General features: G+C 39.7%; 1 protein-coding gene across 14 annotated transcripts in view; it reads left to right on the top strand.

The window, feature by feature from the left end:
• CACNA1E (calcium voltage-gated channel subunit alpha1 E) overlaps positions 1–14,577 on the top strand; it is a 490,386-nt gene that overhangs the window by 334,456 nt on the left and 141,353 nt on the right. The gene's annotated exons all lie outside the window — the stretch shown is intronic.

The following is a 14,577-nucleotide window of genomic DNA, read 5'->3' on the forward strand; positions in this document are numbered from 1 at the left end:
TGAACATTTCAGGAAGGGGAACATCACACCATAAGCAAAGATGAAAAAATGGGACTTGTCATGGAGTGTGAAGAAATTATAATGTAACATCTTAGGAGAGCTGAGACGGGGATATATTTTAGAGATTCTTATATTTTTCTAAGCAAAACTGAACTTAATTTTTTGTCAGAGTGGCATACGTTCTTCAAATGAAAATTTATAAGGTGGCACTTCTGTTTAAACATGGCAGATTGAACTAAGTTGGTCATTTCTTGAAACTCCACTAACACAGAAAATAAATTTTAAGAAGGGCACTAGGACAAAGAGAACAAGAGGAATGACAAGAGATGAAAGATGTCAACAACATTTTTGAACATAGAAAAAATTGGCAACAGACAGTGATAGGAAAGCTGAAGTTTAATTGTTTAGGGAATGCCAGTAAAAAAGCAAACTGATTGTTCTTCGGAGCCCTAGAAAGGCTCAGGAATTGGAGACACCAGGTAGGTCTGAGAGCTGGGGTAGGCGTGGTGCTAAAAACAAAAGGACTGATGCAAAGTCCTTGTAAGGAACATTAGAATCCCTGCCCCACCCCACTATAACCTCCAGGCAATGCTGACAGATATCTGCTTCACCCAACTCCCATCCTAGCAAAAGTTAGGAGACTTAATCTCTGTAGATGTGGAATCAGAGAAGCTTGGAATTGTACCATCAGATACACCTGAGGGTAGTGTTGATATGTTGTACTGAAAACAGGAGGGCTAAATGAAAGTCTACAAACTGAATGTGCGTAGTCCAGCCCACTTCTGCTTGACTCTTAAAAACATAGCAGTCTGGTAGGAGTTGAGAGGATTCCTCTTTTGGGGAACTGTCTGAAGAGAAGGGACAAATTTATACTGATATTTGGGAGAGACCAGAGAAACAGGTTCCTACCTCATCACCTTTGGTGAGACTCACTGTATTAATTACCTATGGCTGCTTTCAACTAATTACCATAGCTCCGCGGCTTAAAACTGTGAGAGAAACTTCATTTTCTTATAGTTCTGAAGGGTACAGGCCCAAAATCTGGTAGGGCCATTGATATAGTTTGGCTGTGTCCCCACCCAAATCTCATCTTGAATTGTAGCTCCCACAATTCCCAGGTGTTGTGGGAGGGACCTGGTGGGAGGTAATTGAATCATGGAGGTGGGTCTTTCCTGTGCTGTTCTCATGATTGTCACGAGACCTGATGATTTTGTAAAAGGGAGTTTCCCTGTACAAGCTCTCTTCTCTTGTCTGCTGCCAAGTGAGATGTGCCTTTCACCTTCTGCCATGATTGTGAGGCCTCCCCAGCCACGTGGAACTGTGAGTCCATGAAACGTCTTTCTTTTGTAAATGCCTCAGTCTTGCGTATGTCTTTATTAGCAGCACGAAAATGGACTAATACAGCTGTGCTCCCTCCAAGGGCTCTAAAGGAGAATTGATTTTCTTCCTCTTCCAGCTTCTGGCAGCCCCAGGCATTCCTTGGCTTATAGCCACGTCACTGTAATCTCTGCCTCTGTGATCATATTGCCTCTTTTTCAATGTCTGTGCAGTTTTATAAGGCCACTTGTCATTGGATTTAGGGTCATTCTGATAAGCCAGGATGATCTCTTATTTGAACATCCTTAACTTAATAATCTGCAAAGATTATTTTTCCAAATAAAGTAACATTCACATGTTCCAGGACTTAGGATGTGAACAAATCTTTTGGGGGGCTCCCAGTCATCCCATTACATTCACCATTCTACAAGCTCCAAGCTTGCATACAGAGTTGCCAATGAGGCTTTTGTGCCGTGCTTTTAAATATGAACACACAGCTAGGGATCATCAGCATTTGAGGAAAATGACCAACACATAAGAACAAAAAACAAAATCATGAATTATAAAAAGGTAATTGAGGGAATATGAACAATGCAGGGAGTAGAAGACAAATTTAAAAGCTGTATCTGCTATTAGAGATAGAAGAGAAACCATTTCATTTACAGAATAACAGGCCAATAAATTAAAAAAAAAAACATTTAGAGGTTAAGGGCTCTTGGAAATTAATGTAAAATGTACATTCATTTTACAAAGTAATATATATATACTTATATATATTTACATTAAATATAAAAATGAAATAATGTAAAAATATAAGAATGTAATAAAATATAAAGGTAATACATATTTGGAATATAAAATTGATGAAATTACCTACAAAACAGAACAGCAAAATAGGATTGATCCAGCTTTTAACTATAATAGGAGTTCTATAAAAAGAACAGAGACATGGAAAGGAAGAAATTAACAAAAATCTAAGAAATGTTCCCAGAGCCAAAAGACTCACATTGCCAGATTAAAAGATGTGTTGAGGCAGATGCAAGGATGTTCTTTCCAGCATTATTTCATGGTAGTGGGGAGTTGGAGGCAACGTGGATGTCCATAACTGGGAGATTATATAGGTAAAATATTGGATGTATACCATGGCACAGTATGTAGCAGTATGTACTGTGGCATCCTATGTAGCACAGAGCAACAAATACTGTGTACACATGAAACATAAGATATCTTGGGCGGGGCGCGCTGGCTCACGCCTGTAATCCCAGCACTTTGGGAGGCCGAGGCGGGCAGATCACGAGGTCAGGAGATCGAGACCATCCTGGCTAACACAGTGAAACCCTGTCTCTACTAAAAATACAAAAAATTAGCCGGGCGAGGTGGCGGGCGCCTGTAGTCCCAGCTACGCGAGAGGCTGAGGCAGGAGAATGGCGTGAACCCCAGGGGGCGGAGCCTGCAGTGAGCCAAGATCACGCCACTGCACTCCAGCCTGGGCGACAGCGAGACTCCATCTCAAAAAAAAAAAAAAAAAAAAAGAAACATAAGATATCTTAAGAACATAGATTTTAGTGAAAACAAGAATCACTGTGATATGATACCATTTACATAAAACTACATGCACACAAAATATACAGTTTGTGAAAATACATTCAAATCAAAGGCACATTTTGAATGTATTATAATTTTTTTAAATTTTTATTTTACTTTAATGATAATTTTTATAGCAGGGTGATATAAGGTAGGTATGGAGGTAAAAGAGAACAAATGAGTTTAATTAATAATGAAATACACACTGAAAACTCAGCATGACTAATGGAAAGTGAGAACCCCAAGGTGAATCATCATGAAATTTCAGAATATCAGATTAAAAAATATTCTGAAAGTGCCTGGTAATTAGGAAGGAGATAGAATTTATCTACAAAGAAATAGGAATCAGGATAGCTTTGGGCTTCTCAATGGCAACACTGAAAGTTAGTAACAAATAGATAAGTTCTTAAAACTTTCATAAGGAAAATAATTTTCAAGATAGAATTCTATACCTAGCTCGAATACCAATTGTTTTTTAGGATGGGATCACAATATTTTTGATATCCATTTTGAAAAAGTTACTGGTGAATGTGAGTCACTAAAAATAAGGAAGTAATTGAAGAAAGAGAAGAATGTGATACTCATGGAAACAAGGGATTCGATGGAGGAGAGAAAGAAGAGGAATTGATTCCCAGGGCGATGAACGGAAGTCTAGGATGACAGAAGCCTAGAGAGTATCAAGCAGTATCAAGATTTGAGTAGGGTGACAGAGGCCTCTAAAAATGCTATCTGTAAGAAAAAATAAAACTAATGTATTCCCCAATGTGTGTTATTATTTTCAAAAGAGCTCATGGTTTTGCCAAAACTATATACAGTCATGTGCCACATAATGACATTTCAGTCAATGACTGATGTATATGCAACAGTGGTCCCACAGGATTTAGTGGAGCTGAAAAATTCCTGTGGCTTAGTGATGTCATAGTCATCTTAACATCATAGTGCAATGCATTACTCACATGGTTGTGGTGACGCTGGTGTAAAAAAACCCTGAATTGTCCATCATATAACAGTAGAACATATACAATTATGTACAGTATATAGTATTCGACAGTAAATGACTATGTTACTGATTTGGCATTTACTTTCAATTGTTATTTTACAATTTATTCCTACTTATTTTTAAAAAAGTTATCTGTAAAACAGTCTGAGGCAGGTTCCTCAGGAGGTATTCCAGAGGAAGGCATTGTCATCATAGGAGATGACAGCTCCCTGTGTGTTATTGCTCCTGAAGACCTTCCAGTGGGACAAGATATGGAGGTGGAAGACAGTGATATTGATGGTTCTGACCCTGTGCAGGCCTAGGCTAGTGTGTGTGTTTGTGTCTTCGCTTTTAACAAAAGATTTTAAAAAGTAAAAAAGTAAAAAGTAAGAATAAAAAAAGCTTATAGAATAAGGATGTAAGGAAAGAAAATATATTTGTACAGCTGTACAATGTGTGTTTTAAGCTAAGCATTATTGCCAAAGAGTCTAAGTTAAATTTTTTCTAAGTTTATAAGGTAAAGTTACAGTACGTGAAGATTAATTTATTGAAATAAAAATGTTTTTAATAAATTCAGTGTAGCTTAAGTGTCCAGTGTTGATAAAGTCTACAGTGCCATACAGTAATGTCCTAGGCCTTCACATTCACTCACCACTCACTTTCTGACTCACCCAGAGCAACTTCCTGCAAGCTCCATTCATGGTAAGTGCTCTACGGTGTACCATTTTTTAAAATCTTTTATACCATATTTTTACTATCCCTTTTCTATGTTTAGATATATTTAGATGTACAAATACTTAATGATGTGTTATAATTTCCTACAGTATTTAGTATAGTAACATGCTGTATAGGTTTACAGCCTAGGAGCAATAGGTTACAGCATATAGCCTAGGTATGTAGTAGGCTATACCATCTAGGTCTGTGTAAGTACACATTCTGGTGTTCACACAACAACAACATTGCCTAGCAATGCATTTCTCAGAATGTACCCCTTTTGTTAAGCCATACATGACTGTATGAATATATGTATGTATTTGTATATACACACATACACAAAAAAACACTCTAAGCATTTAATTCCATGAAATATGAAATTGTTACCAGTAAGAAATATAAGCATAGTAAGTAGGTCCTCTATTCAGCTCAGTTGTCAACCAAATTTATGTTGCTGATGCCGAATTTTGATATAGCCCCTTACAGTGCTGTGATTACCTTAAGTGGATGGAGGAGGCTGAATATGAGGAGGGGAAAGGGAGGGGGAGATTTCAGTCAAAGACTGAAATCTTAGGTTCCACAGTAAGGAAGTATTTAGGCAATATCTAAAATGGAAAGATAAAGACATTTCAGTTTTTAAGTATAATATTTAGAAATTTGGAAATGAATACCAGAAGAAACAGGTAAAAGAGTTGAAAGTGGTTGCCTCTGGGGAGTGAAATTCAGGGGTTAGGAGAGGTAAAGCAGAGGGCTGCCAGTTTTTCATTAGAAGTCTTTCAAAATTATTTGACTTTTTAAATTCTACATGTGTTACTTTGAAAAAATAGAAATTAAATTTTAAAGTAAAAATATTGCACACACACAAAAGTGTAGGACGAAAGGCGTATATAAGAATATTCATCTAACATCCGTGGGGGAAGGATTGGCATGGAGAGAGACCAGATTCAGTAGGATTAAGCAGGAAACAACCATAGTAATCCAACGACGTGGTACTAAGAGCCTGTGGTGGTAATTTGTGAAAAACTGAAGACATCGTAAAGAAGAACTTTAATAATGTTTATTTTGAGTGGAGAGTCTTAAGACATAAGAGATTTCTTCTATATTTACTCATTCAGTGAGTGTTTGTTGGCATTCTTTGTTCGTGCCCAAGCACTGCTAGACGTTACTGTCTCCAGCCAGCCAGTACCTACAACTCCAATGTGCACCTTCCATAACTCTGGCCCCCAGAGAAGCCTGACCACAGGCTCTCCTCTTGTATTTCTACTGAGAGGATAATGTCATGTTTGTGTAATCTTATCTGATATTCTTTGTCCTAAGTGTGTATATATTTTAGTTTGGAAAATTTAAGACAGATTCTTACTATATATTTGGGGAGAAAAGTAGATGTGGTGCCAACAAAAGCCACTGGTGTTCTGGATGAGGCTCCAGCATAGGTTTGAGTTGTGTCTTAACAGAGCTGGAAATGGAACAGAACACTACCATACTGGACAGTGCCTTGTGTCTGACCACATGGACTCTCTCTGGTTTGGAATCACATCTTTTCATTCTCTTACGTCTTTCTCTGCATGGGAAACAGTTGTACATTGGAAGAGGCATGGGCTTTAGCATCTGACATTCATGGGTGAGAAGCCTAACCCTGTAAGAAACCACTTATTAGCATTGCGAATTTGGATAAGTTACTCTGAGCCTGCTTCCTCCTCTGTAAAATGGGATAGCAATAGCTCTCTCATATACAAAACCCTAGCCCAGGGTCTGGCATGGAGTAGCCCTTAGCTCTTATTAGCTGCCTATATCCTTCGATAATATTAACATACATTTTCTCAGCCTCTTAGGTCCAGGTGGCATCACCTGCTTAACGGCCTGTGGATGTTCGATTGATCCAGCTGTCGGGCCATGGGCTCCTCTGGGAGATGGTCTGCACAGATTAGATGTCATGGAACTGGGATGGCAGATGCCTTCTTAGCACTTCTGGAGAAGCCTAGGAAGTGACAGTGGCAGCTGGGAACAGCTGATATGAATAAATTTTGACATTTTAAGGAGTGTTCACAATAGGGGCCTTATAGGCTGGGACTGAAATCATTCTGACCTGGTTTCTTTTTCTCATTCTGAAGCTCAGCACAGTTTGGGGTGGGCTTTATTGGTGTCTGCAGGGGGTTCAGCAGCAGCCAGTCCTGTGTACAGGAGGGGCCGTGGGTTCTCTCTTCTGCTTGGTTGTCTCTCACATGCCTTTGGAAAGATTGTGAGCTTTCTCCTTAGAGTGGGGGTTTAGTTGGGATTTAATTCAGAAGCAGCCTGGGAAATAGCTTGGAAACCTAGGGAGCAGGTTTCTTGTGACCTGCAGGCAGCTGAATGTTATGTACCAAGGCTGTTCCCAGAGCAGAGAGAGACAGAAATTAAAGGGGGAACACACATGGCTCCTAGGTTGGGCAAGTGAGGGAGAGAGTCCATGTGAGAGGGGGCAGGCCACATCCACTGGTGCTCAGGGACCCCTGGATGCCAAGTGTGGAAATGACTGAGGCACCTGCCTCTGGGGCACAGGCATTGGTGGGAGGAAGGCTGTGAGGCATGTTTGTCGGCTCAGATTTAAAGAGGAAGTATGGATGGAAGCATTGTAGCATTTTTACTTGTCTCAAAGGAAATGGGATTTGATGAAAACCATTAGCTTAGGCATGAAGAGAAGCAGAGCTTCCTGTCTCCATGGAAACAAAGCAGGGCTGCATAAGCACATCCTGAAATGCCATCAGGGGCTACAGGGCAGCGGCTAACACAAACAGAAATGACCATGAGCCATCCCACTGTCTCCATCCATTGTTGCCTGGGCTTCTGGACAGGGAAAGGTAAATATGGGGAAGCAGTTGAGCTGTCTCAAAACCAGAGCAGGGACAGTCAGACCAGAGACTGCTTCCATATACGTGTGGGGAGCAATGTGAGCTCTCTTGTGTAAAGCATGCCATAGTTTTCAAAGCACCTTTGCTTTTGTGATCATATTTGTTCTTTGCAATGACTCCATGCAGTATGTGGACAGTATCTTTATTTGGAAATGAGAAGAGGGAGGTTTAGTTAATCTCCAACTAGTTACTGGCAGAGGTGGGGCCAGAGGTTACAATTTCTCAACTTCTAGTTAGTGCTTATTTTAGTGTACACTACGTAGCTTCTATTCAGGGATACTGACACCTGAGGTGGCATACCCAGAGATATGCCGCCAGTGGTAAGCCTGGAATATCATCTTGACCATATAGATTTGGTGCAAGTTTTAATGTGTATGTGCATTGATGTACACACTAATTCACACACACTGATGTTCACGTATACAATGTGACCCGGTATGTGTACAGGGCAGAAGATGCCAAGACCCACTGTCAAGGTCCTGCTGCCCTAAGACTAATGGGAAGTAGTGAAGTGTCCATAGTAGAGGAGGAATTCTTCTGGTTGCATCTCATGAATGCATAGAGTGGCTCCCACGACAAGCCAAACTACAGCTGTCTGCCTTGCTAGCAACTCATGTGCAAGCTGATTCTGTGCAATTCAGCAAGTGTTTATTGAGTGTCTGCTATGCAAAAGATACCTGGCTAGACATTTAGAATACAAAGATGGGTAAAATGAGGAGATTGTAGACTAATTATGGAAATATTTCAAAAATACATGTAATGGGACTCTAAGTTCAAATAGTCCAGAAGGCTAGTCCCTCCCCAAAGCTAATTTTTTTTTGAGATTCATATATGCAGGTCACTAATGTTGGGTTCCTACTATCTTGCAAGGCATTGTTGAGGATAAAAAGATGAATAAGACCTAGGTCTTGGCCACAATGGGCATATTAACAACTATAACTTCAGTGTTAAACCTTGCATCTCCTGTTGGGTGTGCCATTGCATCTTAGGAGGTGGTTCCTGAGTGTTTCCCATGCCTGACCTGAGACAGGAATGGCTGCTGGTCTTAAGAAGGAAATTATTCATGCCCAGCTCAGTGTTCCAGATGAGATCTCTGAGGGGAGTTGGTGGGTATTAGTTTGACGTATATCTGCTCCTCCCAAGGCTGGCTGACATTGAAGGTGACTGGCTAACATAAGGGAGAGTAATTCTGCTGGGATTCTAACACTGGAATCAACCAGTAGAAAGTCAATGACTGACTCACGCAAGAGTTACTAAGTACTTGTTGTATGTGACTCACTGCTAGGGGCTAGGGATACCAGGTCAAACAAGGACAGAGAGCTGCTACCCCTCAACGGGTTTGAGTCTAGGAAGAGATAGCAACAGGGGAGCATTTAAATTAGAAGGGGCAAGGATCAGGTAAGGCCAACTGAGGCAGGTGACAGTGGTGTGTGCCTTTGAAGAGCCAGCGATAGTTTGCGAGCACAAGGGAGAAGCACATTCTAGCACAGAGGCACAGGCAGAGGCTCATCGAGAAGGGCTTCTTGGGCTAAGCTGGTAAGTTTAAGCTTGATTCCAGAAGCTTGTGGGAGGTTTTAGATTGTTAGATAAGGAGATGGCTAGATTTGCATTTGAAGATGATCACCCTGGAGAAGGTACATAGAGAAGCAAGACTGGAAGCAAACAGAGAGGAGCAGCAGTTCAGGGGAGAAGCAGAGAAGCAGCGGGGCTGAAGTACAGCGGTGGGGACGGAAAGGACAGGACAGCTCCAGGAGGTGTTGGGGGCCAGGTGTCGGATCTGCAGGACTCGGGACTGTGTGGGTATGTCTGAGTGGGTTTGGTGTGGAAATCAGAGGGAAGTCTTCTGGATTGCTTTTAGGTTTCTGAATTGAGACTGTAGGTGGCTGGGGGAGAACACAGGCCAAAGGGTAGGTCTTAAGGGAAAGAGGGCAGGTTTTGGACCTGTTGAGTATGAGAAAGCGTAACACACTTCATGACTTTTGGCCAGTTCACAGGAGTAGAGTAGGGTTTGTTTTAAGTTGTTTTTCTTGTAAGCTATAATTTTTTGAGACTGTGCTACCCATCAAGCATTGTGCCAATCACATGACACATATTGTCTCATTTAATCCTCACAGTGACCATATGAGGAAGTACTAACTTCCTTTTATAAATAGAGATACTGTGGGATGCTTGGTAATTTGCCAAAGTAAACAAAGCTCATGAGCAGTAGATTCAGAATTTGGACTGAGATCTACTAGGCACAAACACCTATGCTTTTAAGCAGATCCTCCAGATAGTTTAAATGTCCTTTATGGAAGGAAATTATCTGTCATCTAGTACAGCAGAACTTGATGAAAATGAACAGGTCCTCCATGACGGCCATGGCACATGTAACTTCCCAGTCCTGTGGACAGAAATTTCCTGTATGATACCCTGCTATGATGACCAGAGTGGGGTGTTCATAATTCCTACACTGATGAGAAGGACTTTTCCTGGGTGAGTTGTGTGACCATGGGGGTCACATAAAAAGCTTATGGGAGCTTGCTGAGAGAATCTGCATTTCCCCAAGACACTGCTTAGTGTATCAGTTGTGAAAATTGTATCTTAGGGTGAGATAAAAATTATTTGAGGAAGACAAGACTCTAAGTGTCGTTTGTGCCTGCCTCCTTGTTACAGTGGAGGAAACTCGGCTGGAGAGTGAAATGACTTGCTCAGTTTGTAGACAGCTATTTAGTGTTAGACCTTGGCTAGAAGCTAGCTGCCCTGGCTCCCTGTCTGGGGTGCTTTTTCCTCCATGCCCTATGTATAGCCTAGTAGTAAAATACAGACTCTAGACAGTCTAGCTGGGTTTGAGTTCTGTTCCTATCACTTGCCAGCTATGACAATGATGTTAGGTAAATTATTTCACTTTTCTATACCTTCAGTTACCCAATTGTGAATAAGGATATTGGTGTTTGTCATATAAGATTACCGGGGAAATGAAATCAGATAATACATGTTAAGTGTTTAATACCTGGGTGATAGTAATTACTTAATAAATGTTAGCTGTTAGTAGCAGATTTCTTTCTCAAGAGCCTGGTTTACACTCAGTAGGTGGGGCTGGGAAAGAGCCATTCTTACCTACCAAGTACTCCCATTGAGTCAATTAGCATGAGCTCAGATGTTTTCAGATACCACTGGTAGAGCTGACCATCCATGGCACCCTACAGGGAACAGCAAAGACAGACTGTGCCCTTGGGCCCCACATGAGGCCATCAGCTTAGACACTCCACCATTTGAAGTTCCTTGGAGTACCTGGGCCTTTCTATTCTCTGCTCATGTGGTCTGGAGTAAGCCTCTAATTTTCTTTGTTAAATTCCTGCTCATCCCTCTCAGCTTGTTTTAACTTTGGCTTCTTTCACAAGATCTTTCCAGGTCTATACCCCCCAATCTCATTTTACAATTAGTATTAAAATCTTTCTCCCACATGTTCCCATAGCACTATATGCCTGTTTGTTATAGAATCTGTCACTCATAGTAATATCATGGAATTGTTATATAATTTAATACTACTAAAGATAAGATGTAATATTTATTGAAACCTTGTCATCTGCCCGATACCATGGTAAATGCTTTATATACATTATTTCAATTAATTTTTGTAACAGCCTTATGAGGCAGGTACTGCTGTTAACCCCATTTTATAATTGAGGAAATGGAGACTGAGAGTGGCTAAGAGTCTTGCCTAAGGGTGCACAGTCTAATGAGAGGCAGAGCTCTCCTCCCTTCTCCTGGATGCACTATCTTCCTGTGCTTTGGAGTCACAGATGTCTCTGTCACCCATTAAGTTTTGTTTCTTCTGCTGAGGATGTCTTTCCATGTATTTGGATCGCTCCTGATATCTTAGTGCCTTGTTTTTGTGTTCAAGAAATGATTGATGAATTGAAGGGAAACCGAGTAACATCAGGACCCTCTTAGGGAATGCCATGCCCCCCTATGACCTCCTGGAGGATAGTATTGCAGAGAACTGAGGAAGAGGCTGGCATCTTAAAAGTCAGGAGCATAATCACTGGTACTGGAGATCCTCGAAAAACCTGCAGAGAAGCTGTTTGCTTTCTGGAATGTTGATCCCAGCTTACAAGCATTACAGACAAGTAATTATGATAGGTTGGACATTTTTACACTTGGCCATTGCTAATATTTTTTTCTTTGAGTTAATTCCTTATACCATTTGCCCATTTTCCCATAAATTGGCATATTTATCTTTTTCATATGAACTTAGATTATTTGCATAGTAAGGATATTAACCTTTTATATCATATGTGGTGCATGTTTTCAGAATAATCACTTCTAAAGGATTGTTAAAGCTGTTATCCTATAGGCAATTGTGGGCAAATAAGGCTGTTGGAAGCAGAAAAAGACAAAACAGTTATTCTTTTTTATTTTAGAGCATTTGGTTTATAAAGCATTTCATGTGTTTGATTCCCACAATAATCCTAAGAAGTATATTAGTATTTTACAAACAAGGAGATTGCAGCTCGAAGTGGGCAAGTGACATGCCCTAAATGACAAATGTAAGTGTGATTTTAGGACTCCCAGTCCAGTGCTCTTGTTCCACAAAGGAGTGCTTCCCCTATGGAGTGGGCATTTGCAATGGGACCTTTGCTGCTCAGCTTCTACTCACAACAGAGATGTGATTTACACACATGCCCCAGCACAACAACAAAGTGCTCTTTTGAGTTGATTAATTCAACAGATAGTGCCAAACACTGTTCTCTAGATGCTGGGGATTCAAAAATCCCTGCCTCCATGGAGCTTATATTTTTCTGTTGCACATGTAATCTATATTTTATGTAATATTACCCCCATTTTAGGACTTTATTATTAGGAAGAAGTACAATCAGCACCAACACCCTGAAATTGCCCTGTATTGATAACGCTATGGGCTGTGAAATGTGAATGTGAAATGTAATGCAGCTGCTTTTGGGGGGAAAAAGGCTCTGATTTTCTTGTATTAATTAAAATTCTGTCTCCTTTCAAAAATTAATCTCTAGTGTCTCTTGCTGTTATCTACCTTGAGAAGCAGAGGCAGTGTCAGGATAGGTGGTTCTGGGGGCTCAGCCAAGGTGAGAGCATCCTTGGCTGCAGAGGTATGGCGGGGGTGGAGAGGTGAAGTCATAGCTGGGAGAAGCCAAGAATCCTATCCAGAAAGGTTGCATGTGAGAGGCAGGGTGAAGGTGTTGAGGGAAAAGGAATAGAGAAATCAGTAAGTAGAACTATCAACATAAATAATCAAAACAAGGTACTGTTTTACAAGCATTTATCCTTTTTAAAGCGAACTGTTGACAATTAGATTGGGACTTCATTAGGTGCCTTTTTGGATATGAAGACAATAACCAAATATAAAAATGCCTCCATTCTCTGTTCAAGTTTTCACACATGAAATTTCTGGTTGACCAAGTTCTTAGGTAACTGAAACATCCTTGTAGCTCCTCAGCCATGCTCTAACTTAGTATAGGTAAATCTTCTAACACTCTGATACCTGTATACCTATATACCTATACACACACACACACACACACACACATATACATCTATACATATGTACATATCTGTGTATATATACACCCATATATGCATACATACACACACATTTTCACACATGTATATGATGTTTTCTATTCATGTGCAAACTGCAATTCATATACTCCAGGATTTGTCCCTTCATTTAGTACTTAAGGAACCCAGTAGATGATTGTGCCATTCTCTGAATTTGCCTTGCAGAGTGACTACATTTAAACTTATTTCAAGAATGTTCCATTTTAAAATCTAGTTTTATTTGTTTTTTAGAGGAGGAGATAACTTCTACTTAGTAAAATATAACATGAAGTAATGTTTAAAAAGATGGCTTTTTAGATAGGTGAAATAAGTTCTGGTGTTCTATTGCACAGTAGGTGATGATGGTTAACAGTAAGGCATTATATATTACAAAGTAGCTTGAAGAGAGGCTTTTAATTGTTCTCACCACAAAGAAATGATACATGCATGAAGTGATGGATATGCTAAATACCCTGATTTAATCATTAAACAACATATTTATGTATCGAAACATCAGATTGTACCCCATAAATATGTACAATTACAATGTGCCAATTAAAAAATAAAAACAAATGAAAAAAATTTAAAAAGATGGCTTTGCTAAGAGACAGACCTGGATTTAATGTTCCAGTCTGCTACTAAGCTCCGAAGTGTACATATTCACTTAGATATCCCTTAGGTGTCTTAAGCTTAGGATGCCCCAAACAGAATTCATTCTTTAACTTCTTTTCCTCATCACTAAACACACTCTCTATTCTTTCTATATTCTCTGGTTTTCTTTTACTCTTTCTGTGATTCTTTTATCACATTTGTTATCCAAGATAGAAACCTGAGTTAATCCTGGTATCTTCTCCTCACTTATTCTCTGGGCCTAATTGCTCATCAAGACCTACTGATTAAGTTTCATAAAACTATGTCCTGGACTATAGCAATTGTCTTTTTAAATGTTCTCCCTGCTGTAATGCAGCCTGCTATTCATGAGAAAACAGTCTTTACAAACCAGACATTTAATTATAGAATTTGTATACCTTAGTTATTTATAATGGGATCCCATTGCCTAAACGATAGAATCACTTATGTATTCACTTAACCAGTTTTCAATAGATGTTGAGCTTCTGTGTGCCAGGCAGTATTCTAGATGTTAGGAATACAGCAGGGAACAAAACAAAAATCCCTGCCCTCATAAAAGTTGCTTTCCAGTATGGGGAGAGTCTAAGGACATATATTCTGATTTAGGTAAATGAAAAGACAAACCCTGCTCTTGAAAAGGAATACTTCAAATTACAAAGATGTCTGCTTTCTCCACTTTAGTCTTTAATGTGATATTGATAAATGTAAACAATGTTTTTACTAAATTATATTAAAATTTATCTGAAAATGTAAATGTATAAGAGTAGCCAAGACATTTCCTTAAAGAACAATGAGGAACAGGAACTTTTTATATAGGGAGTAAAATATATTCTAAAGCTACAATAATTGAAATGATGTGATATAATATAGGAATACAGGAACCAAATATATATATATATACACACACAC

Source organism: Homo sapiens, chromosome 1, assembly GCF_000001405.40.
Source record: "Homo sapiens chromosome 1, GRCh38.p14 Primary Assembly".
NCBI classification, from domain to species: domain Eukaryota; kingdom Metazoa; phylum Chordata; class Mammalia; order Primates; family Hominidae; genus Homo; species Homo sapiens.